Genomic DNA, 26,505 nt, shown 5'->3' on the forward strand with positions numbered 1-26,505 from the left:
ACTCCATAAATCCACAGGTGTTTAAGTAGCCCTGAAGGCTGGGTCAGATAGCAGACTTGTTCCACTATGACTTTACAAGGATTTCGTACTGTGTAAACAACACTTGGAAGGATTTCTCTTTACTGCTGAGTAAAACCAGTAGCAGAAAGGGCCACTTTTAGTTTCCTTCCCTAAACTATGATGTGGTTCAATTTTATTATTTCAGTTATGAGCTGTGTATATTAGGTTATCTTGTACACAGTGTAGGCAGCATTTTAGTCCTTTGTTCATGAACAGGACAACTTGGCACAAAGCAAGGTCTCTTAAATGGAAAAAAAATCATCGTCTTAGAAGGGCATTCTATTACAATGATTTTCTGTCTTTCCTTGTACTGTACTAAGAAAATGTTGAAATATCTAAATATCATTTATTTGTTCCATTGATACTGGAGGATTTACATACCTCAGGTACCCTTCCCATAAAAAAAATTTGCATGAAGTTAGTATAAGCAAATGAGAGATTCTACCCATAAGGTGTTTACAAAATCCAGTTTTGTTTTCATTTTGCTTCTTTTGCTTTGTTTTGGTAATTGAGTCAGAAACCAGATTCAAAGGGCAAATTCAGAGGAAAAACTAAAAGTTTCATCCAATGATAAATATACAGTATGCTTTGAATGCTATGACAAACTGCAATATTCAAATGTCTCAAAGTAGAACATTAGTTCAGCTTAGACTTGGAAATTAGGTCTAAAGAAGAAAAGCAAGGAATTGAAAAGAAAAAATATGTGTTTGAAAAGCACAAAAAAAAAAAAAAAGTTTACCTGTCTGAGTGGTGTGTAGTAATCAGAAACAGGGAAAAGAAATAAAAATCATTAGGGAATTTTCAAGATCAGAAAAATTCAGAGGGAAAAATGTAGGGGTCTATAAGAGAAGATCCCCTGCAAATGAATAATTAACTCCAATAAAAAGCCTAGAGTCTCCATGTTGCCCCTGTTTTAAGATTTTGAGTGATTTTTTGAACATGTTTATGATAAAAGTTTTCTGTCACATATTATAATTGTATACTTTGAAGTGTATCTGATATTAAAGCAGAATAAAAATATGAACAGCAAAATATTTCTTTGTATATATAAATGGTATTTCATATATGAATGGTATTTCTGTGCCTTGGTTTAATATACAATACTTTATTTCTTAAAAGATGTTTCTAGAATGCCTCAAGAACAATGAACCTAAGTCTCCGTAGTGAAATAATCAGTGCCTAGACAGTATTGCTGTAGGGTGCACACAGGTACCAAAGAGCCTTGTGACCTTTCTGCATTAGGAAGGTTGCTAAGAAACACTGACCCTGCTTATAAGATAAGTAAACAAACATTTAGAAAAGAGAGAGCCAGATCCACTCAAGTAAACATTGATTAGCAGTGCAGTCTGATTCACTTATCAATGAATCATGTATAAATGATGAATCAAGTGAAGGACTGAGGATCAAAGACCATCAGCACAGAAAACTAAAGACTCGGACTTAACCTCCACAAGATCAGACATCTACTGAGCTAACACCTCTGCCCTACATATAGCACTCTCCTCATGCTTTGTGTGCACTTACAACTTCAAAAGTTTTTTTTATTACCTTCTATGGACAAGCCACTGTGCTAATATTCTTGTAAAATCATGCTTAAATATTTCTTTTGAATATCCACAAAAGGAAGGGATTGTAATTTGTAAGAGGAGTTTGGTTTTCAAAACAAGCAAGAATTATTTGCCGCTTGGTTTAGCAAATCAGATGAGTAAATATGCCAGACAATGCATGTGTGGTCAAAACCCCTATGTGCACATTTTTCTCTCTGGTCTTTGCTGTATTTCATAGACATCTTCTGTTTACAAGACCGATATTCCCACTCGACTATAAGCTCCTCAAGGTCAGGAACCAAGCTATTTTCATCTTTCTATTTTGACTCCTAGCACATTGCCCACTGCTTGGAAAGAGTCACTGTTTTTGTGTGATTCCTAAATTGTCTCTGAAGGCAATCCAAAAGAGAATAGCAAAGCATTGACATCTTTGTACTAACTACTTTGGGAAAAAAATATACACATACTGAGATTTTAAAAGCTAAATCTAAATACTTACAGGCCAATGCAGAATATCTACTACATGTTGATAAAACTTGAAAAAAAACAACTGTATAGTACTATTAGGTAGATGGGAATTATTTAAAATGAGTATTAAATTATACATCATTATTTCTGTTTTACTCCCAGAGTGAAACTGTGGATTCTGAATTTGTCCCTTGCCTTCAAAGTTAGAAAAATCTTCCACCATGACCTTTGTTCATTTGAACAGCACATGAAAATGTATTTCTCATGCTTTGGACATATAAGTTAGAAAACCTACCTCAAGTTTGACAGGTTTCCAAATGATTATTTTCATTTTTAATTCTAATTTGTGATTGATTCATCAGGTAAAAAAATAAACAAAGTGCATACCTTTTTGAAAGTATCTAAGACTTTACAAATGTAGCAGGAAGTGATGAGACTACCAGACGGAAGTAATGAGCAGGCTACTTGTATGAATTTAAAACAAAGAAATATAAAAGTGGGCTGGGCATGGTGGCTCACACCTATAATCCCAGAACTTTGAGAGGCTGAGGCAGGAGGATCACTTGAGCCAGGAATTGGAGACCAGCCTGGGCAACATAGGGAGACCTCATCTCTACAAAAAAAAAAAAAAAAAAGAAAGTAAATCAGCCAGGTGTGGTGGTGCTCACCTGTGGTCCCACCTCCTTTGGAGGCTGAGATGGGAGGATTGCTTAAGCCCAGGAGGTAGAGGCTGTAGGATCAGACCACTGCACTTCAGCCATCATGACAGAGTGAGACTCTGTTTCAAAAAAACGAAAGGAAAAGAAAAAGAAATGTATAAGTGGCCAAATCACACCTGAAATTTGACATAATTAATATAAATATAAACCCATTTAAAGATATATTGAAGGCCAGGTGTGGTGGCTCATGCCTCTAATCCCAGCACTTTGGGAGGCTGAGGCAGGCAGATCACCTGAGGTTAGGAGTTCAAGACCAGCCTGGCCAACATGGTGAAACCACGTCTCTACTAAAAATACAAAAATTAGTTGGGTGTGATGGTGGGCGCATATAATCCCAGCTACTCAGGAGGCTGAGGTAAGAGAATCGCTTGAACCCAGGAAGCGGAGGTTGCAGGGAGCTGAGATGGCGCCACTGAACTCCAGGCTGGGAGACAGAGCAAGACTCCATCTCAAAAAAAAAGGGGGAGATATTGAAAAATATGGAAAATGGGGAATATTACTGAAGTACAAAGAAGCTAAAATTGTATATTCAATAATGCTGTCAACTTATATATAACCATGTTAAGGTTATACTCCATGGAGTTTGTATCTGAATACTCACTTGAAAAATGGACTGGCTGAGGAGGAGATGTACAAATATATACAAGTATGTCAGTCTACTGTAATTTTTCTCATAAATATTTAGAAACTGATGGTTTCTTAGATACACATAGTAATATATTCAATTTAGTGATATATTTAGTAAAAAATATGCGCAAGGCACCCCGTCCTCCAAATATCACAGGTCTGTGCTCTCATCACGACTACTTCTAGTCACAAAGTGCAGACGAAATGGCTATTGTTACTGCATGCTACCCCTGCCCCCCGCCCGACTCTGGCTGAAGTGACTTCTAGAGAATTTAAAGAATGAGCACCATTTTTCCCCTTTATTTTTATTTTTTCCTCTTTTGAGGAAATTAAAGGCTAGGACTTTCAAAAACAACTGAATATATGAGGAAAATTTGAAAGTGACTATGTATGTCCAGGGAAAAAAGCAGGTTCAGAAAAGTCCTGAAAAGACCTTAAATTTACACCTCAGGTGGATCCTTGGCACAGAGAGTGCCTACAACAATACAAAAATCACAAAATCAATAAATAAAAACGTTAACAAAAAACAGCAAACTCTGGGGAAAGGGAAGAATCTGGTTTCCAGAGTTACCACATTATTAGATTAAAATGTCCAGAGACCGGGCACAGTAGCACAAGCCTGTGATTGTAGCACTTTGAGAGACCGAGGCATGCAAATAGCTTGAGCTCAGGAGTTTTGAAACCAGCCTGTGCAACATGGCAAAACCTGTCTCTACAAAAAAAAAAAAAAATACAAAAATTAACTGGATATGGTGGCACACACCTGTAGTCCAGCTACCTGGGAGGCTGAGGTGAGAAGATAGCTTGAGCATGGGAGGTCGGGGCTGCAGTAAGAAAGATCATGCTGCTGCACTCCAGCCTAGGTGACAGAATGAGACCCTGTCTCAAAAAGGAGGAAAGTAAGTCCAGTTTTCGATTAAAAAAACCATGAGTCGTACAAAGAAGCAGAAAAGAATTGTCCCTCAAAGCAAATAAATCAATAAAATGATCCCTTAAAAAGACCTGATGTCTACTAGATAAAGACTTTAAAATAGCACCTTAAAGATATTCAAAAAACTGAATTAAGATAAAGAGAAAGTCAATAAAATGATGTGTGAACAAAATGGAAATATCAATTAAGAGATGGAAAATCTGGCTGGGTGCAGTGGCTCACACCTGTAATCCCAGCACTGTGGGAAGTTGAGGTGGGTTGAGATCACCTGAGGTCAGCAGTTTGAGACTAGCCTGGCCAACATGGTGAAACCCTGTCTCTACTAAAAATACAAAAATTAGCTGGGCACGTGGTGTGCTCCTGTAATCCCAGCTACTCTGGAGGCTGAGGCAGGAGAATCACTTGAACCTGGGAGGTGGAGGTTGCAGTGAGCTGAGATTGCAACACTGCACTCCAGCGTGGGTGACAGAGGGAGACTCTGTCTCAAAAAAAAAATTAATAATAAAATAAAATAGATGGAAAATCTAAAAAGAAACTAAAAAAATCAAGAGCTGAAAAATACAATAATTTAAATGAAAAATTCACTAGAGGAATTCAGAGGCACATTTGAGCAGACAGAAGAATCAGCAAACTTGAAGACAGGACAATGGAAATTATTGAGTCTGAGGAACAGAAAGAAATAAGATTAAAACAAAATATACAGCCTAAGGGACCTGTGGGACACCATTAAACAGACCAACATACACACTGTGGAAGTCCCAGAAGTAGAGGAGAGACAGGAAAAAGAAGAAAGAATATTTGAAGAAATAATAGCTGAAAACATCACAAATATGATGAAAGACATGAATTTGTACATCCAAGAAGCTCAAACTCCAAGTAAGATGAGCTCAACAAGACCCACATGAAGACACATAATAATTAAACTTTTGATTGAAAGACAGAGAATCTTGTAAGCTGCAAGACAGAAGTGGCTCATCGCATACAAGGGATCCATAATAAGTTTATCAGATGATTTCTCATTAGAAATTGTAGAGGCCCAACAGCAGTGGGCCAATATATTCAAAGTGTTAAAAGCAAAAAGGCATCAATCAAGAAGTCTATGTTCAGCAAAACTGCCATTCAAAAATTAAAAAGAAATTAAAGGATGGTTAGATAAACAAAAGCTAAGAAAGTTCATTATCCCTGGAACTGCCTGGCAAGAAATACTTAAGAGAGTCTTCCAGGGTGAAATGAGAGACTATATAGTAACTGAAAGCCATATGAAGAAATATCTCAATAAAGGTAAATATGTGGTCAATTATAAAAGCTAATATTATAGTAACAACCATTTGTAAATCTACTTTTTGTTTTCTACATGATTTGAGCGACTTAACATATTCTTTTTTTTTTTTTTTTTCGAGACAGAGTTTCGCTCTTGTTGCCCAGGCTAGAGTGCAATGGCACGATCTTGGCTCACTGCAACCTCCACCTCCTTGGTTCAGGCAATTCTCCTGCCTCAGCCTCCCAAGTAGCTGGAATTACAGGTGTGCGCCATGATGTCTGGCTACTTTTTGTATTTTTAGTAGAGATGGGGCTTCAACATGTTAGTCAGGCTGGTCTCGAGCTCCTGACCTCAGGTGATCCACCGGCCCTGGCCTCCCAAAGTGCTGGGATTACAGGCATGAGCCACCATGCCTGGCAACTTAACATATTCCTAAAAATTATTAGAAAAAGGAAGCAGCCTAATAGAAAAATGGGCAAAAGACTAAATAGGCAAGTTATTAAATAGTGTACCCAAATAGTGACAAGCTTATGACAGTATTCTCAACCTCATTAGCCAGCAAGAAACTGCACATTAAAACTACAGTGGGATACTACTAACACCCACAAAATAGTTTTTTAAAGAAATGTTTTAATAACAATACCAATGATGTACAGGGATGTGGAGCAACTGCAACTCACACACAGCTGGTGAGAGCATACAACACAGTCATTTTGGAAGGCGTCTTGGCAGTATTTTCCAAAGTGGAAGGTACTTGAAATTTTAGTCCTAAGCATATCCTTTACATAAATGCATACATATGCACATTAAAAGGCATGCACAAGAATGTACATAGCAACTTTATTCATCATAACCCCAAATGCAAGCAACACAATGCCCACCAACAATAGAATGGATAAATAAAACAGTGAAGTATTCTAAAGTAAGGCACTATTGACCTTGTGGGCCAGATAACTCTTTGTTATGAGAATCTGACCTGTACTTTGTAAGATATTTAGTAGCACCCACTAGATGCCAATAGCATTTCCCTAGTTGTGATAAAATGTTTCCAGTAACCATTAAATGTCGCCTTGGGGGATTAAATCCCACCCCCTTGAGAATAACTTCTCTAAAACAATAAAAATAAACTTCTGCTACATGAAACGTAGTGGACAAATATATAATGTTATGTGAAAACAGCTAAACACAAAAGAGTACCTGCTATAGGATTTCATTTAAATAAAGCTCTAAAACAAGCTAAATTATGTGATATCTGTTGGAATTTTTATTACATTTGGGAGAACAGTAACTAGCAGGAGGCATATGGAAGATAGTCTAGTCTAGGTGAGATTCTCTATACATCCCAATCTGGGTAATGCTCACATGGGTGTGTTCTTTGTGAAAATTCATCAAGCTATACTTTTATGATTTTGCTATATATACTCTGCTTCAAAAAAAAAGACTACTCAAGATTATATATTTGTAAGCCTAGAGATGAAGAGACACATAATTCTAGAATATGAAGCAAATGTTAGAAAGAGTTACTTTAAAAACACAAACAGAAGGGATTCCAACATCTCAAATTGGAAGAGAGAAAAACTGAGCTTTGTTAGAACCAAAGATGACAGAAAGAGAAGTGACAACACTGAGTAAAAAGAAAGAAAGGAAATCTTATTTCCACAGGGAATAGAAAAGGTGCTAAAAGAAAACATTTTAACCCAGGACTAGAAAGTAAAACAATTTCTACGGTGGTGGGTGCTGCTAATTATCCACTTGTTATTTTTTTCTGTCATTCTTTCTCAATCAAGAGAACCCCAGATTTATTCTATGCAATACTGTGCTCGCGAAATGTTGCATTATTCAGCTCTCCTTGTAAACAGGGTTGTCCAAAGTGATGTGGCCATGAAAGCTGGTATTGCTGCAGTCACCATATGACATGAGATGACTGAAGATGGAAACCAGTGCCAAAATGTAGTTAAGCACAAAGAATGAAACTGAGTCTCTGATGACCATAGAGGCCCTCATCTTCACCCTGGACTGCCTGTTTCTGGCATTTTACATGAAAGGAAGAAAACCACTCTTTTAATTTTGTTTAAAAAGGAGTATGTGCAATAATTTATAACTTTGTTTCTTTCTAGTAGGAAATAAAGACTGCCCATCTCCAGTAATGTTTCTGTCATCCTTTTTTCAGTCTAACATTTTTATTTTCTTTGACCTAATATGTAGAAAACGCTCATGACTTTGCATATGTGGTTTGAATTAATGAAAAAGAAGAAGAAAAGCAAAGGGTAAATCTTGAACACACAAAAGAGAAGGTGATTTTATGTAAATATCTTTGTAAAATAACCAATGAAGTGAAAAACACTTCAAATTCTGCTTACTTTTTAAATATCAATATTCAAATAGTTTTGTTTCAAAAATTCAAAATTCAGTTAAACACACAGAACTTTATTCTGATAATGACAGTCTATTGACTGAGATCACATGGGAATGAGAAATGTAATAAAAAAGAAATGCTTAGATTATTGCTAGAAAAAAGTATGCATAAATTAGAAATACTTGGACCTAGACATACTACAGTACTATGTGTTTCTAATTGTTGAAAATCATCACTGTGCAATATTTAAACTTAAACTAAGAATGCTTCATTTCTAAAGTTGGAAAAACTAATTTCAAGTGAATAAAATCATCTTCAAAATTGGATATAATATTCAATATTCTAAGTTCAGAAAGAAGTTTTAAACAGCAAGGCATTTAATATTGCCATCCAGATACTATTCTGATCTGCTGATGTGGAGTTTACTACTGACGTCAATCAGAAATTTGCTTAAGTAGGGACTGATGAATAGAGTATACTTCCTTTCTGGATTTCTTCTTCTATCCAGAAACATAACAGGAAGGTCATTTGTTTTAGAATAGAAGAGTATGTGAGTGGTATAAAATGACCTTGAATTATGATCTCTTCTGACATCTAATGTGTAATATGTATTTTTAAAATCTAGGAGCAAATACATAAAACTATAGGTAAGTGATAGACAAAACCTGAAAGAAGAAAACTCCTTTTTAAAAAACAATGTAACTCAGTCCAAGTACCAGTGAAAAATATTTGTATCTAAATGTGATATAGTTCTAAGAAGCAGAGTCATTCAGCCTCCAACAGGTTTGTGAAATGTATTTCAGGAGAAAAGAAATTATCAAACAAATGTACCCCACTCCCGCCCCACAGTAAAACTAAATGCAATAGCATGATAGCTCAGCAGATGCAATGTGAGGTTGCCCTGCATGTCAGCATGACAAGACAGTGTATAACTCTAGCTAAAAGCCAAACTTGTAGGGAAAGCATATTTGCTGTCCATCAAACATAGGCCCATGGTTGCAATAAATACTTATCTTTATCTATCACTGGCTACCTGCCTATCTTTAATTTCAGGCCCTTGAAATTTTATTTCATTAACTATTAAGATACGCTTGTGCTCTCCTATTTTTAGGCCTATTTCTCAAAAGTGTTCTATTTGTATAATACATCAAAAAAGAAGACAGTGGCTGTATGTTTCTTCCCGTTGTTGGGATATTTGGAAGGAAGGGAGTGGAGGTTATTTTGGGCAAGAGTTTGTCTCTGGTCAGCTGAAACACATCAGTGAAGTAATTTCTATTTAAGTCTTGGCTTTGTCACTCAGCCTGTAATAAGCCAGAACTGTCAAACAGAAATCAGAACACAAATCAGTAATGGTTGCCAGAAAAAATGGACAGAAGAAAAAAATTCGATTTACAAGGCAGGAGGGAGTGGTCAGTGGTTACTTGCAGCACAAGCCAACAGTTTCCTCAGAAGTTTGGATCAGTAGACGCTATACACTTATTCAAAAATCCTGTTGCTTACTTGGGGAGAGGGCTTATTAATTATTTAAAACGTGGGGACAGCTGTATTGTTCTCAGTCTGATTCTCAATGTGAAGAAAATAAGAGGCAATGTGGGTGAGTAGGACAAGATAGAGGCACTTTCTGAAACAATTTTAATATGAATTGCTCACTTCACTTTGAAATCAGCTGAATGCTAGAATGTCAACAGTCACAAACTTATGTCTCCTTCATGTTTTGACAATGTTCAGTGATCTAATAGCACCAAGTTTTGCAAACTCTCTTGCCTAAATGCCAATTCTGCATATTAAGTTAGCTCTGTCTCAGTAGGGGTGTCAGAATCTTGCTGATTTTCACTCACTGAAGTGTAAGGCTTGCTTCAATCAATCAGCAACATTCTCAGCAATTTATCCATTCCATGTAAACTGAAACAAGATAATGTGTCCCATTTTTAAAATCTGGTCTATACTCGTCATTTTAAAAAGTATAATCTGGAGGCTCAGTCCCTTATCCTTCTTCTGAAGATGAACAGTTTATCTTGGAATGGCTTTTCCCTGGACAAGATCAAATGCCCATGCTAAAGCAACTTTCCCATCATCTGCAATCTGCTTCATGGGATAAATAATACAGTCACAAAATTTTACTGATGAAGAAAATCTTAAAGATCACCTGTGACATTCATTTCATGTCACCACTGAGAAAACAGAACTCTGAGAAATAAAGTAACTTCCTCAAGAACACAGCACTTTGGTGCCAAAGTGTGGCCTGATACCCAGAAGTCTTGATTACCAACCAGTCCATCATTCTTGTTGGCACCCCTACAAATGTAACTGGAAAACATGGACATCAACACTTCTCTTTTACAAATTCTCTCTCTTTACAATTTTACTTGATTTTACTTTTTCTTCATCTTGGAATCTTTTGTTTTAATACATCAGTTCCCCTTTTTGGAAATGTCTGTGCTAAAGGCCATTAATAAAGAAGTATTCAGAGCTGACACATCCCAAATAATGAAGCTGCTAACCTACATTACCATATTATACTTAATAAAATTAATTCGCCCATGTAAACCTTGAGTAGGCAAATTTGCACTTAGAACACACAGAGAACCATATTTGTGACACAGATAGATAACTATTAACTCCTTTTAAGCTTTCAAATGCCTTAGGATTTCAGAGTAAAGAATCAGAAAACTGCAGCTCTAATTCAAATGAATCAGGGTAGAGCAGATGGTTGAAGAAGGAACACAAGCAAGAAGGAAATCTCCTGTTCTCCCTTTCTGATTACTTTGCCCACAGAGGAATAACGATTCAGAGAAAATCAGTAATCATGGCGGATGTCATTAGCATATTCCCAATAAGGGAGCTTACGTAAAAATTCCCAGAGAAAATGAATGACTACTTGCAGATCAATTTGCAAAAGGCGCTCATCTCCAGCTGCCTCCCTTCTCCCAAAATGTGAATGATTTAAGACTTAAAAATTGAAGTTTGTAAAAGTTATGGGCAAATGCTAAAGGTTGTTTAAGTTAATAATGATGATTATTACAAGTAAAATAGAGCAGGTATATTTTCAAGTTTGTCAGTAATTAGTAGTACCTAATGTTTCACATTTCTAATTAAATTCCATTTGTGCTGCAACAAAATCCAAAGACTTATTAAAATATTGAATAACCCTCTCCCTCTCATCTCTTCATAATGGCTGATTAAGCAAACTGCAATGAAGCACCTTCATTGTTTTATTGTGAATCCATGTGGTAAAGTGTGTTTTTCTCTCTCTTAATTGATGAGCAGAAATCATTGAAACAGCACATCAACTCCATAGAAAAACTTGCACAAACAATTTTAAAAGGGGAAAAATTTCAACTCAGGTAACTAGGAATTTAGCATGCTTTTGTTGAGAAAATATTTCAGAAGTTGTGCTTTTAACTAAATGCGGTGCAAGAAAATGACAGATGCTTGCTTAAAGTTATACAGAAAACACCTGATAAGTTTGTCATTGGTAACCATTTCTCATTGTTCTCCTGTACAGTTTCTAGATTTCTAGTTATTGAGAGGGTACAAACATCCATTGCTCTTTGTCAAGTTGAATATTTAACCCTCAAACACAAGACAGAAGAATTCCCTTTCATAGGAGGAATAGCAGTTACCAAATATGCAAACACCTTTATCAATAATAAATCTCCCTCATAAATTAACCATGAGACACAATATTGGCAGGTCTTCATATTAAATAGAGAAGAGCTAGGTAATGCCATCATTGATTAGACCAGTAGGAAGCAGATGGTTAAATAACACAATAGGAAATGTCACAATCGTTTTAATTTTATTATTGAAACCCAAACTTTCAGTGGCGGTAGACAGATTGCCTTCATTTTTCATCCATAAAACAAGCATCTTGAACATTTTATCAAAAAGAACTTTTTCTTACACTGGCATTGCAACCAATAAAACCTTTTATGCATGGCAAGTTGGCAGAAACTATTAATAAAATGTCTGTCAACTGCAAGTCGCTCTTTTTTTCTTTAGCAAAAAAGGGGGAGAAATCATTAATTACAGTTTCTGTCACACACAAAAGACACTATGACTGTTCTGATGTCTTAACAGCCTGAATTCACCTAGTGACCACCTCTTCTGTGGATTTGAAAAGAGATGGGTCGTCATCCATCTAAACAAAAAGCTGCAGAGCTCTCCTAACACATTGCCTGTGTCTGCCTGGGCAACAAATGTGGTATTTTAGGTTGACTCTGAAAGAAGATTATGAATATGGATAGAATGCAAATACTTCATCTATCTTAATCAGAATACAGGAATTCAAGCTGTTGAGGAAAAAAAAAAAAAGACCTTAGAATTCCCATACAAGGAAAGAAATTTTATAGTGCTTATTGAATTTAGAAGACAGAGATTAGAAATGAGCTTAATGAATCTGTTCATCAGGAGGCAAGCAACAGACTTAGCAACAAGTGTAGATCAATTACCCTGATGACAAATAAATATAATGAACTTTCAAAGTGGGAAACAACTGTTTAACACAATTTAAGAGGAAAACAATATATTTTTTTTCCTTTTCTGGGTTGGCTTTGTCCTCCCCTTTCTACCTGATTATTTTTTTTCTTCTACTAACCACTTAAAAACCCTTTTCATTTCCCTGAAATGATCTTTCCTCACACAAGCTCCACATAATGGAAAAGAAAGAACACAACTACATAATTTCTGTAACCAAATATAAAGAGAACAAAAGGGCCAGGAATGACTTATATAGGTTCCTCCTGAATGTGCAGCAAGATTTTTTGCCATAACACTGTGTAGAAAACTGCCAGTTTTCTTTATTATTTCTATTTATCTGCTCCAAATGTGTCAACAAAAAGGTCTAGGTAGCTGGGTTCACCTGTCTTGGTTCCCCATTTCCTTTCACTTTTAATAAATGCATTTGCTCCAGGCGCTAGCGTATTGAAATGCAAGAGGTTTCTTTGTTTGTATATTTAAGAAACTTTTCAATTTAGTGGACTTCTTAATATGAAGACTAATAATTACAACACATCCATGTTGCTATGGTTTTTTTTTTAACAATATGGACTATAATTATTTTATGAGGTTCATTCAAGGATGTCTTTACACAGGGTGGGATATATGAGGAGATGAAATAAGTCTAATCTTATAGAACAAAAATGCTTTATAATAATCTATAAATCTAAGAAGAATAGTTATAGATTCTTAACCTAAAGTTTATTACAATTTTATGTTGTGATATATCTAGATTCAAATCCTAGGACTACCTGTTATGAGCTGTGTGACTTTAAGCAAGTTGTTTAACCTTTCTCTACCTCAATTTACTCATCTGCAGAAAGAGGAAACTACTAATAGATACTTCATATAAGAAATGAAATGATGCGAAGTATGTGAAGTACCTAGAACACTACTTGGACAGAGGAAGTGTTACATAGTTGTTAGCCATTATTAACTGGTCTATTTTTGTTTGATCTAAAGCCAAAAGTGAAAAGATGTGAACTGTTTAAAAATTCAAAGGCTAAAGCATACAATAGATCACTACTCATTCTTGACTGCTGACAGAATAGGTATGGCAAAAATTTGCAGTGGCTCATGCCTGTAATCCCGGCACTTTGGGAGGCCGAGGCGGGCAGATCACGAGGTCAGGAGATCAAGATCATCCTGGCTAACATGGTGAAACCTCGTCTCTACTAAAATAATAATAATAATAATAAATGAATGTAGGAACCCTCATTATGAATGAGCTACTGTGAAGGACTATTCCATTGGTAGATGGATGGTAAAGAAGACAGTAATGTTGGTAATTATGAAGTATGTGTTGTTTTCTCTCAGAACAAATGTCTGCAAAAATCTAGCAAGTATCGTGAAATTATCTTGTTATAAAGTTGGAATTCAAGGTAAGAAGTGAACATGCTCTTTCTTACCATATCTAATATATGCATGTGTACACATTATTTATATATACATATATATGCAATCTTTATAATCTTTGTTTGAGAAAACCCTTTTGAGTAGAATTTTTTATTACCGCTGGTTAAAAATGTCATATCACAAGAATCTGGCAAGCATTCAGAACCATTTAATCTTTCATCAAGGCTTAATCAGAAGAGGTTTATATCTCTTTTGTGCATTGTCAAGTGCCCACCACAATTTGTCTCCCCCATACTGGACCGACAGATTGAGTGAATAAGCAAAGAGCCGGAACATCTGAGTATAATTGCAGTGTCAGCACTGTTAACTGTATTTATGAGAAGAGAGTTAACACTATGACATTAATAATTTCATCAGATTACACATGTTTGCTTGACAAACAAGCAAGCTATTCTCTTTAAATTATCTGTGACTAGTGCTGTTTTCAGCTGGAGAACAGCCATGAATTCCAGTTTAAAAAGAAAAATAAACTCACCAAAACACCATTCAACTTACATTGTTATGTTTGGGGAAAGAAAAAAAAAATAAGTCTTTAAATATTTGCGTTGAGCCAGACTTTATAAATCCTGGTTTCCTGTCAATAAGAAAGAAAAAAAATGGTTAGGAACATACAATAAAAAGGAAGGGCCAGGAAGCATAATAATTGTGTCTCACTGTACTGTAGTTCAAAAATAGCTTCAGGCAGAGACACGAAGTCTTTTAGCTTGCCTTGACTTTTTAAACCACTAGATGCTCACCTGCAGTGGTTTCTGTGATTTGTGGCAGCTTACCAAAGGCACAGGATAATAAAGACAGTTTGTTACCCTCTAATTTTGGAGGGGCATAACACATGAAGCTTGTACAGCAATCTCTTACCTACATATTTCACTCCATAAGGGGAAACAATAAGAGAGAACATGACATGTATTCGAGAAGTAAATTACAATGTTATACTCTTTGGTCCAATAAACCATTGTGGGCTGTCATGCTCCTGACTACTGAAGTGTTCTTTTATGCTACAGCTTAATCAGCTGGGTCTAGGCTCTGCTTTTGCAGGCCAGTGCCTTAGGCAGCATAAATGCTGTGATTCACACATGTGATCACAGAAGCCTATATGGTAAGGACCACACAATCTGCCATGTAAGTTATTGGCCTGAGTGATGGATCTCCTTGCAGTTAATTTAGAAGATAGAATGGGACTTGAACCCGGTTGTTAAAATTATCACAAAACATTGAACCACCTGTTTGTCTTATTTAATAGGAGCATCTTGCTGGTGTTGGTTCTAACAAAGGTAACGTTTCATCATTTGAGCCTAGAATCTATGCCCTTGTGAGAACCCCACAGGCAGGAAGCATCTGTATTTATGAAGCTTACATGAGACAGCATGATGTGAACCTGAATGCAAAAAGTTAAAAGAGTTATATTGATTCCACTACTAGCAAGCCCCAAAACAAAAGCTTACCACTGCTATAAATACATGCAGAATTGGGTGTCAAAAGAAAGTATTTGGCTTACCTGTTTTAGTAATTCAGATAGTCGTTTTATATTCACTTTCATTATTCTTATGACAGTAGGTATTGTTAATATAACAAAACCAAGAGAATGATAGTGATACATTTTATATTTATATGTACATATGTGTATACACATAATCTCCATTTATAAATATATATAATATAACTATGCTTTCTTGAAAAAAATTAATAGATCTGTTTAGAAAGAATGAATGATATATCCTTAGGCTGAAAAAGAAAAAGATTCTTAACTCAGTGTCAGTCACTTAGGAATCATATTGCCAGAGTTTTGTATGGAATGCAAAGGATAAAGTATTTATGAAACAAAAAGATAAAACACATCTCCTCGCTAAGATGGCTATTATTAAAACCAAAATCAAGTGTTAACAAGGATGTGAAGAAATGGGAACACTTGCCTGCTGTTAGTGGGGATGTAAAATGGGAGCAGCTACTGTGGAAATAGTATGGTGGTCCTGCAAAATTAGACAAAGGACTACCGTATGATCTAGCAATTCCCGTTCTCAGCATATACCCAGAAACATGGAAAGCAGGGATCTAAATAGATGTTTGTACCACAGTGTTAATAGTGGCATTATTCATAATAGTCAAAAGGTGGAAGTAACCCAAATGTTCATCTACAGATGAATGGATAAACAAAATGTGGTATATACATACAAAGGAATGTCATTCCTCTTCAAAAGGAATAAAATTCTGACCCATGCTACAATGTGGATGAGCTTTGAAGATATGCAAAGTGAAATAAGCCAGAAATCAAAGGACAAATACTGCAGGATCTCACTTATATAAGAGGTACCTGGAATAGTCAAATTCATAAAGAAGAAAAATATAAAAGAGGTTACCAGGGACTGAGCACCAGGGCAAGTGGGGACTTATTGTTTAATGGATACAGAGTTTCAGTTGGTATGATGAAACAGTTGTGAAAATGGATACTAGTGATGGTGTGCAACAATGTACTTACTGTAGAATGTACTTAAGTAAATGTACTTATTGTCACTGAACTGTGTACTTAAAAGTGCTTAAAATGGTAAATTTTATATATATTTTCCCAAAATAAAAAAGATAAACCAAATTTCTTGAAAAAATAGAGCCCCTTCTCCAAAGAAACTCTTTGATATCCAAAACTAATAGTCTGAGTCTATCAAAAGAGAGCTAATATAAATGTAGAAACTTCAATTCGAGTCAGATCTCCAAATTGTGGGTCTCGAATTGGATGGTAATATGTTCAAGCCAAGTCAAAAATTCCTGTATTCTGGATTCATACCCTTTGCCTATCCTAAAGACTAGAAAGTACTCATTAGTACCATAGAGCTAACTCGCAGGGGCAAAATTACTGCTGCCACAATGTTAATTGTTTAAGGATAGATTTGATACCTTTAATAGAGAAATGCAAGTATAAAAGTACTTGGATTTATAAAACTTACTCTGTTCACCTTTATACACAACATAGCATTTTAGCCTTCAAACTATGCACACATTTTTATGGGTTTTACCAAGGACATCTGAAGATTTGTCTGGAAGTACCTCCCAACAACTGATCGGTGTACTATTCTGCAATATTTCTGCTATGTGATTTTACTAGCTCTCTGGGTCATCTCCTATGTGTGTTGAGAGTTCAATGCAAGTTATTTCTGCTTAGAGCTGCTGTGACTTGAAATTCCATTTTAGTGAGAGCTCACATTCTGTCCTGAAAATGTGTCGTATGCCTTATAAAGTTTATATCTTGGTTCACTCATCGAGGCACAGAGCATGTTTCCACATTAACATCATTTATAAAAATAGGAGGCTGAGGCCCCGGCTGTGGCCCCCGGCTGCGGAGGAGTCCGAGACGCAGCTGCCGCGCCTGGGCCTGAGCGGCCGCCTCCTCCGCCACCCGAAAACCCGGAGTGCCCCGCACAGGTTTAGACCCAGTGTGCCTGGTGGGCTGTGCCCAGGTTCAGAGTCATGCCACTCTGTGGGTGAAGCTTGAGGCAAAAATGGAGCCACTTCAGCAGCAGCAGCAGCAGCAGCAGCAGCAACAGCAGCAGCAACAGAAGCAGCCACACCTGGCTCCTCTGCAGATGGATGCCAGAGAGAAGCAGGGCCAGCAGATGAGAGAAGCCCAGTTCTTGTATGCCCAAAAGCTGGTCACGCAGCCGACTCTCTTTTCCGCCACAGCTGGGAGACCTTCTGGCAGCACTCCCTTAGGTCCCTTAGCCAGAGTTCCACCCACCGCAGCAGTGGCCCAAGTGTTTGAACGGGGCAACATGAACTCAGAGCCTGAGGAAGAGGACGGAGGTTTGGAAGATGAGGACGGGGATGATGAAGTTGCAGAGGTGGCTGAGAAAGAAACCCAGGCTGCTTCAAAATATTTTCATGTGCAGAAAGTAGCTCGCCAAGATCCCAGAGTGGCACCCATGTCCAATCTACTTCCAGCACCAGGGCTCCCACCACATGGACAACAAGCTAAAGAAGACCATACCAAAGATGCTTCCAAGGCCTCATCTTCTGTCTCCACAGCAGGACAGCTGAACTGGAATCTGGATGAGCAGCTCAAGCAGAATGGTGGTTTGGCCTGGAGTGATGATGCAGATGGAGGCCGGGGAAGAGAGATCTCTCGAGATTTTGCCAAGCTGTATGAACTGGACGGTGATCCTGAAAGGAAAGAGTTCCTGGATGACCTCTTCGTCTTTATGCAGAAGAGGCGGACCCCCATCAACCGAATCCCCATCATGGCCAAACAGATCCTGGACCTGTACATGCTGTATAAGCTGGTGACCGAGAAGGGGGGCCTGGTGGAGATCATCAACAAGAAGATCTGGAGGGAGATCACCAAAGGCCTAAACCTGCCCACATCCATCACCAGCGCTGCCTTCACCCTCAGCTCAGGACGCAGTACATGAAGTATCTGTATGCCTATGAGTGTGAGAAGAAAGCCTTGAGTTCCCCAGCCGAGCTCCAGGCAGCAATTGATGGCAACCGCAGGGAGAGCCGGCGGCCCAGCTACAGCTCCTCCCTCTTTGGCTACTCACCTGCTGCGGCTACTGCTGCTGCCGCTGCCGAGGCCCCTGCCCTCCTCTCCCCACCCAAGATCCGCTTTCCCATCCTTGGGCTTGGCTCCAGCAGTGGCACCAATACCAGTAGCCCTCGAATATCCCCAGCAACCACTCTCAGGAAAGGTGATGGAGCCCCAGTGACAACAGTGGCTGTGCCAAATCGTCTGGCTGTGCCCGTGACCTTGGCAAGCCAGCAGGCTGGTACTCGGACCGCCGCACTGGAGCAGCTGCGGGAGCGGCTGGAGTCAGGGGAGCCTGCTGAGAAGAAGGCGTCGAGGCTGTCTGAGGAGGAGCAGCGCCTGGTGCAGCAGGCCTTCCAGCGCAACTTTTTCAGCATGGCACGGCAGCTCCCCATGAAGATCAGGATCAACGGCAGGGAAGACAGAGCAGAGGCCTCGGCTGCAGCACTGAACCTGACCACGAGTAGCATTGGGAGCGTTAACATGTCTGTGGACATCGATGGCACCACCTACGCAGGTGTGCTGTTTGCCCAGAAGCCTGTGGTCCACCTCATCACGGGGTCTGCTCCCCAGAGCCTCGGCAGCAGCGCCAGCAGCAGCAGCAGCTCTCACTGTTCACCAAGTCCTACCTCATCCCGGGGCACCCCCAGCGCAGAGCCCTCCACCAGCTGGTCCCTCTGATGGGCAGGACCCAGCTTTCCACTTGCCACTCTCCAGTCGAGAGTGAAGGAAGTTGATGCACAGAATTTACCTCATCTCACGGAGCCCACGTCGACGAGCACCATTTGGCCAGACATTGAGAGTTTGGACGTGTCCGTCTGTCCAGGCTCCATTCAGGTCCTGCTGTACTCCGGGGGCAGGGAGAGGCTAGAGGGGCAGGACAGACAGCGTTGTCCAATCAGGGATTGTCCTGGAGAACTGGGTGGGGGTCTGTGGGTGTCCAGCTTCCTCCAGGGTTCCCCAGCCACCTCCCAGCTCGGGGCACAGTGTATCGACAATCTGTCAGCCGACACAGGGCTGGAGGCCCTCCATTTCCCTCCCCTTTTAATTTATTTCCCTGCCCCTGCCTTCTGCCATGACCCCAGGGCCACTAGTCTCTTCCCCTGTTTTTAAGTCCCATGTGGGGCTGCCAGGAGCCAAGAGCATGCCTTCATGCCCTTCTCTGCTGAGCATGGTTGGTGCCCTTCCAGCCCACTTTGCCTACTGTTAGGTTCCTGGGGTACGGGTCCCTCAAACACAAGTCTTGAATCAGTCCTCAGGGCCCCAGATCCCCCTTCTAATGGTCTGAAGGAAGAGGCTGTGAGGGCAGTTCAGGGCCAGGGCCCACAGGGCATCTGCTGATGGGAAGGCAGAGCCTCGGGGCTGCCCAGCCCTGGCACCTGCTTCACACGGACCATTCTCTGGCCGCCCCCCCAAACCTCATGCTCCCCGCTTGCCCTTATTGTCCTGCTTTCCCAAAAACAGCCCACTCATCCTTTCCCCAGCCCTCTTCAGCCCTCCCCAGTCCTCCCCAGCCTTCTTCAGCCTTCTTCAGCCTTCTTCAGCCCTCTTCTATTTCTTATGGGGCCATCTTGGCCTCACCATCCCCACACGTGCCGATGTCAGGTTCATTGAAATACCTCAGATTTGTAATTGTTGATGTTTGAGTCTTCAGGAAGTATTTGCATCTCTGAAATCTTTTTTATATGTGTTTTGCTGACTTTTTTTTTTATTTTAAAATTTTTATTGTTGTACACCAAAGAAATGAAAACAGATCACCCCCAAAGCCAAGCAAGTGATTGGGTACCCCGGCCCCTCTGGCCCTTCCCTCAAGCCCAGTGAGGAGGTGGGTGGAGGCATGCAGGGGAGACGACTCAGGGATCACGGGGGCGGGGAGGTGGAGTGGAGAGGCCCGCTCTCACACTGGGTCGGGCCCTGAAACCGTACCAGTTCTGAAGAGCGTTTTCTGCCACACCCCCACCCCCAGCTGACCAGGGAGGCAGAGGACACCTCCCCATCACTCAGCATTCCCAGCTCAGGGCACAGGCAGGCTGGGGTCCTCGCTGGCCTTGCCAGAGGTTGAGCCGCCCCAGGGTATGAGGAGATGAATAACTCCACAGCTCCTCCTGGACCCTGCGCGGGAGCAGGCGGCTCCTGTGCTGTAAAGAAAATTGATTCGCTTGCGGCTCACCTCAGTCGAGGAAGCCCTGGAATGTTCAGCAGAACACCACCACTGTGACATGGGGCTGTGGCAGTGGGAGACACCGCATGTGGCGTGGGTGTGTGTGGCGGCGTGGCTCGCACTCAGTCCTGTGTAGGAGAGGAAAGGGAATCAAAAGCTTGAGCACAAACAGATACCTCAGCCCGGTAAGCTGCAGCTCTGCTCAACTGCGTCTTCTCTCAGCCCTCCACACACGCTCACCCCCACTCCCACACACACACACACACACACACACACACACCATCTCCCGAGGGCTGACCTCCTCTGGCCTCAGCCTGCAGGGTGTGGGCAGAGAAGGGCATCTGGGACGTGGTGCCAGTGAGGAGCCCAGTTGGCTGGCACTGGGCCCATTTGAAGGTGTCTCAGACATTTGGCCAGTATGTCTTTCTCAGGGGTTTGGTCACAAAGGATGGACTCTTCCCACCCAGAGGATGCAGGGAAAGCACACTGTGTCTTTCCGGTCATTGGATCCTCTCCCTTTCCCCAGGCAGCTCGCCTGGCCACACCGTTGGAGTGAACCCTCACTGCCCTCAAGGACAACAGCAGGGTGTCACCCAGAGCCGGATGAGGGATGCCAGCAGGTGCCCCCACGAGTGGGGCCTTGGCCCAAGCAGAGCTTCCCCTGAAGGTGCCATCAGCCAGGGCAGCTCTGTCCCCTCCTGCTCTCCATCTTATATGTATTCTAACCAGGAAAAATGTGATAGCACATGGGTAGCCTAGGCAGTGAATAAATACCTCAGATGTCCTCCTGCAAAAAAAAAAAAAAAAAAAAAAATAGGAGGCTGAAACCTAGAACTGAGAAAAATCTGAGTTTTTATTAAAAAAAAGCACGTTTTTACTTTCTGATATCCACCTCAGCTTTTGTTCTTTAAAATGGGATCAATGTCATTACACAATTTTCATTAAAATCATGTAAAAAGCACCACGCTGTGCAAAAGATGGGCCCAAATACTCTGCAAAGATCATTGCACGTAAATCAGATCCTTTCCCTCTACCTGTAGGAGTTTCTGTTCCTGTTCTTGAAGAGACAGACTGGTGAGCATGCAAAATTACAGGAAATGCAGAGAACAAAATGGGCAGAGCAACCAAAACTGTGGTGTTTGCATCAAATACAGGTCAAGAGTAAACTTATTTTCCTATGAAATTCAAGAACATGTTGAAACTGGAAAGAGCGGGACAGGCTGGTAGCACCTTTTAAAGACCAAGAGAGGCCGCCTCATTAAATATTAAGAACTTGGAGGAAAGAGGTGGATTTACACTGATAAAAGGTTCATTTAAAATTCCATGAGGTCAATAAATTACCACTTAAGATGCCATTTCCCAAAATGTGTCCTGAAGAATGCTTGTTTTAAATGAGGGTGGAGGGGTAGAGGGAAAAAATCCTGTGGTCCAATTGATTTATGCACTGTATCTCAGATGGAGTTTGACAAGAAATGTTGGCCAGGCGCGGTGTATCAAACCTGTAATCCCAGCACTTTGGGAGGCTGAGGTGGGAAGGATCACTTGAGACCAGGAGTTTGAGACCAGCCTGGATGACATAAGGAGACCCCATCTCTACAAATAATTAAAAAATTAGCCAGGTGTGTCAGTGCACACCTGTGGTCTCAGCTACTCAGGAGGCTGAGGCAAGAGGATCACCTAAGGCCAGGAGGTTGAGGCTGCAGTGAGATGTGATGGCACCACTGCACTCCAGCCTGGGTGACTGAGTGAGACCCAGTCTCAAAAGAACAAAACAAAACAAAACAAAACAAAACAAAACAAAACAAAAAACCAGACAATAAATTGTTGAGTTACCAAAGGCCCTGTTAACGCCTGCAACAAAAAAGATTGCTGAATCTTGCTTAGTCCAGTCTTTTCCAAACTTGTTTGACCTTCAACCCCTTTCCTCTTCCTCTGCACATTCATCTACATAACAAATGTACAGAGGGCCTCCTCCAGGCCAGTCACTGTTCTAGGTCCTGGGGATTCAGCAGTGAAGAAAACAAAACTCTCCCTTGGCAGACTGTGTAATTAGGAGGAGACAGAAAATAAACCAATAGATAAATCAAACCAGAAAATAAATCATTTATATAATATATCAGAAAGAGTGCAATGGAGGAATTTTTTTTTTTAATAGCAAGGGGGAAAGGTTGCTGTTTTAGAGAGTGTGATCAGGGAAGCTTCTCTGATAGGATGCTACTTGAGGAACAGGTGAGATATGCTGAGTTGATCAATTGCTGGAGGACCAATGGAAGCCCCAGGGAGTATGAGAGCAATCACCACCTAGAGAGTGAGCCCCTCAGCACTTTCTCCTGCACAGAAGGAGACTTAATATTGATAGAAAGTTCTACAAGGCGGCACTAGCATTAAGCAGTTCTAATAAGAGATTGATTTTACCAGTGCAGATAGGGAAATTGCTCATCCTCTAAAAGCAAATTAACTCTTTGGAGCCCCTAGGGTGTTGTTCATTTACTGATTTATTTACAAATTGTTTGCTCCTTGGCCTCTGATTAGTGACATTTTGCATGGTGACCACGTGTTTTGGAATTGCGTTACTCTCAAGTCCTCCATTTCACATTATATGGTGGCCATTTATCTCACTCCTCGAGAGGGAAGCAGAGCAAGGGAGCGGCTGGTCATACCTCATTTGTCATAAGCGGAAAAGGATTCATCAAGCTGCTGAGCCGCGTTGAGGGGAACGATGATAGGGACTGGCATGTTTGCTGCCTGATTCAATTCTTGATTTCATTGACAGGGGCTCCATTGATGATTGTTGTGATTGAGATATCAAAGATAGAATAATTCAGAAAAGGTAGAAAGTTTATGCTACCTTATGCTACCTAAGGACATATCCCATTTTCCATTCTCCTGGTAGAAATATTTTCTGCCTTTAGAGCCAGCTACATTGTCTGTTGGGTTCTGTGCAAAATGAAAACATGAGATTACCTTATTTAAAGACAGGAAAAAATAGTGTTAAAGGTTCTAAAATAGAAAACATTTCTTTTTTCTTTCCTTTCCAATCTCCTTCTCTTGACTTTATTTTGCCTTTTATTTGCTATTTAACATTATTCTAAGAAAACATTTAATTTATTAGCATGAATTCTATCACTCGGCTTTATATTGTGCAATGCCAATTTCAAATGCAAATATGAGCATTTAAGGCACATGGAATCACTGAAATAACACAATTCATATTATGTAGCTTGTGTATGCATATGTATTTTATTCTTACCAGAACAGTGAAAATGCTACACAAAACTTAATTGTTTTTGTCTGACTTCTCGATGCATGCATGTTCTACCTTCACTTTCTATCTTACTGATTAGTAAGGAAGACCTTAAAGGGAATAGAGTTGTGTGTTGCCTTATATTTTAGTTACCTTCTATGTTATCATCATCACCCCTACCTCAGTCACAGACATAACACGCTGACGTTGTACTCACTTTGAGACTCACTGACCTGCCAGTCATTATGGGTTCGCCAGTGTGCTCATGAGGCATTACAAACGTTATATGTGAATGAGGAGACAAGGAACAATAGACACATATATTGCATGTGTCTCCTCTGCTCCCTTGCATGCCCTATTGTCCCATTAGACTTCACTAACAAACACAAGTTGAAAGAGAAAATGATTAAGGATTTCAAGGTAGTGACAGCACTGCATGAAAGCAAGTGCCAGGCCCTACCTACATGAAGCCCTATGCATAGGGTATGCACCCATGAGGCCAGCCCTGCCATCTTTTTACAGAATACATAATAGGGAACATAGGAATCACACACGAGGGTACCGCCATCTCATAAGGAATGTTCTCAACATTGTTCCTTCATTAATTTTCTAGATGTGCCCCTGACATAACCTTTAGAGGGTGAAATATTTGCCAAGAATATATATTATTAGTTGGAAAATAGCTTCAGGACTTGGTTAGAACAACTAACCTCAGAAAGTCCCCAGCCCATGTGACCTTCTTTTCTAGGTTCAGATCAAAGAACTGTTGATCTACTAATGGAATGGTTCATCTGTCTTTTAATGTATGCAGTATCATAGCTCATCTTTCCCTCTTCTTATGCTAAAATCATATTTTGATTAAAGTTGCTCTTCATCCTTCCTTTCAACCACTGCCACATTCCTTGTGCATCAATTCCCTGCTTTTCAGAATGCTTAAAATCTAGAGTAATGGAGTATGGTACTTCCACTGCTAAAATGAATTGGAGATCAATGCACAGAAACTCACAAAGCCAACAAGCCTGCTAGTAATTCTGATACCCTGTTAACTGCATCTTAGTGTCTGGTGGCCTTTGCTTCTCCTGGAGACAATGTAGCCCTCATTCTGCTCAAGACATACTGTCTTCCATTCGTGGAAAATCACTTAGAATCACTTCGGAAAAAATACCTAAGTGATATGGTAAAAAAAAAAAAGCTGCTTCCTGGCACATTCCTTTTACCACTCTATCTGCTACCAGACCTTCTATTGACCTTCTGCCCTATTCAAATCCACATTTTGTAACTGATGTGGAACACGCAGCATTTTGACACACCGTTCTTGACACACCGTTCGTACGAATTTACTGTAAACCTTGTGCCTGCCTGCATTGTGGTAGAAATCATATTACCAGATTCCTAACAAGAAGGCTTATGATGTTAGAAACTGTTAAAAACATGAATGAGAAAAGGCCCCTTCAAACAGAGCCTGAGGAGCTAGCTCAAGTAACAAAGCCCTGTTTTCCATCTTTTATGTAAAGCAAATGGATTAACAACAACTGGCATGAAGCTGAACTGACACCCTGACTCACTGTGCCAGGCAAGCGCTCTATTGAATTGTTTGCACCAGCCATTTCTTGTGTGCAAACAGGAGGAACTTGTTCAGGCAGCAGCCACTCTGAATGGTATGTGAGGATTTAGTGAAATACATGCTCAGGACAGCTTTCTTAATCCTTGCGAGTCTGCCCAACAGAGGGAATTCCAGGGTGACGGACGAAGGAAGCGTCCAAGTCTTTCACTAAACACAGTCAAGTCCAAAAAAAGAAAGTTGAAGTGACTTTGTTATATGTTTAGTTTATGCTCATCCAACAAATACCGCTGTTAGGAAAAAAAGTTTAATGAATGATGGTAATAAACAGGCTGGTACTACCCACTGATTAAAGTGTCATGATGCCTCTTTCGAAATCAAAGGAGTTATCTTGCTAATGAACTAAATTAGACTGAACTAACATTCATGTTAATAATTATTACTTACAGAGCTAGCTGTGTTAGGAGTGATAATGATAATGTGAAAACTGAATATAATAATAATATTTATCAGGTGCATATCCTCTAGTTTAAAGCAAATTTGACAGGAACATGCAGGTACCTCAGTGGCCCAATTTTGAGAAATAGAGGGAATTTTTTCATCGTAAGGATGGTAGATTAGGTCCTAGGTGAGTAATGAAAAGAAGGCTGAAAAACAAAATTCCTTATTAGAACCAGAAGTGTTAACCTGACAAACACATTCATTCAAACTCTTTAGCACGTGAAATATATATATGAAATACATATGGTACTCATTTTCCCTTAAAATGAGCCATGATTGAAAAAAGAAACAATTTTACATTCTCAAGGTTGGAAATAGAGAAGATATGCATTGGCGATAATATTGATTTAAAAAAAAATCTGCTGAAAGGCTATTATTAGACATAGATTATAGTTACAGTGAAAACTGGGAGCTGCTTTTAATCCCCTAGGGGGCAGAAAGTTATGTAGGGTCCTTTTTGTCATTTTCAAGGTGTAGAAAGAATGAAAAAGACTGCGGTGTATTTCATTATTAGTACACATGAACAGTTTGAACTCTCCATTATTGGGCTGTCTTTTTTCATAGTTGGTAACTTTTTCAGGCTCCTTCTACGAAACTATTTGACAAGGAAAAAAATAGCCTTCTTGGTTTGATATGTGAGTATATACAA

At 39.9% G+C, this 26,505-nt stretch overlaps 1 protein-coding gene and 1 pseudogene across 8 annotated transcripts in view, besides 2 other annotated features; both read left to right on the forward strand.

The window, feature by feature from the left end:
* ADGRL2 (adhesion G protein-coupled receptor L2) overlaps positions 1-26,505 on the forward strand; it is a 687,801-nt gene that overhangs the window by 178,268 nt on the left and 483,028 nt on the right. The gene's annotated exons all lie outside the window — the stretch shown is intronic.
* On the forward strand, positions 17,186-21,342 carry ARID3BP1 (ARID3B pseudogene 1; annotated as a pseudogene).
* Positions 25,265-25,559: a silencer, noted in NCBI's record as "tiled region #8606; K562 Repressive non-DNase unmatched - State 24:Quies". NCBI's record gives its function as "represses a minimal TATA promoter and a strong SV40 promoter by Sharpr-MPRA in K562 cells {active_cell/tissue: K562}" and the evidence as "EXISTENCE:reporter gene assay evidence [ECO:0000049][PMID:27701403]".
* Positions 25,265-25,559: an enhancer, noted in NCBI's record as "tiled region #8606; HepG2 Activating non-DNase unmatched - State 24:Quies". NCBI's record gives its function as "activates a minimal TATA promoter and a strong SV40 promoter by Sharpr-MPRA in HepG2 cells {active_cell/tissue: HepG2}" and the evidence as "EXISTENCE:reporter gene assay evidence [ECO:0000049][PMID:27701403]".

Source organism: Homo sapiens, chromosome 1, assembly GCF_000001405.40.
Source record: "Homo sapiens chromosome 1, GRCh38.p14 Primary Assembly".
Classification (NCBI taxonomy): Eukaryota; Metazoa; Chordata; class Mammalia; order Primates; family Hominidae; genus Homo; species Homo sapiens.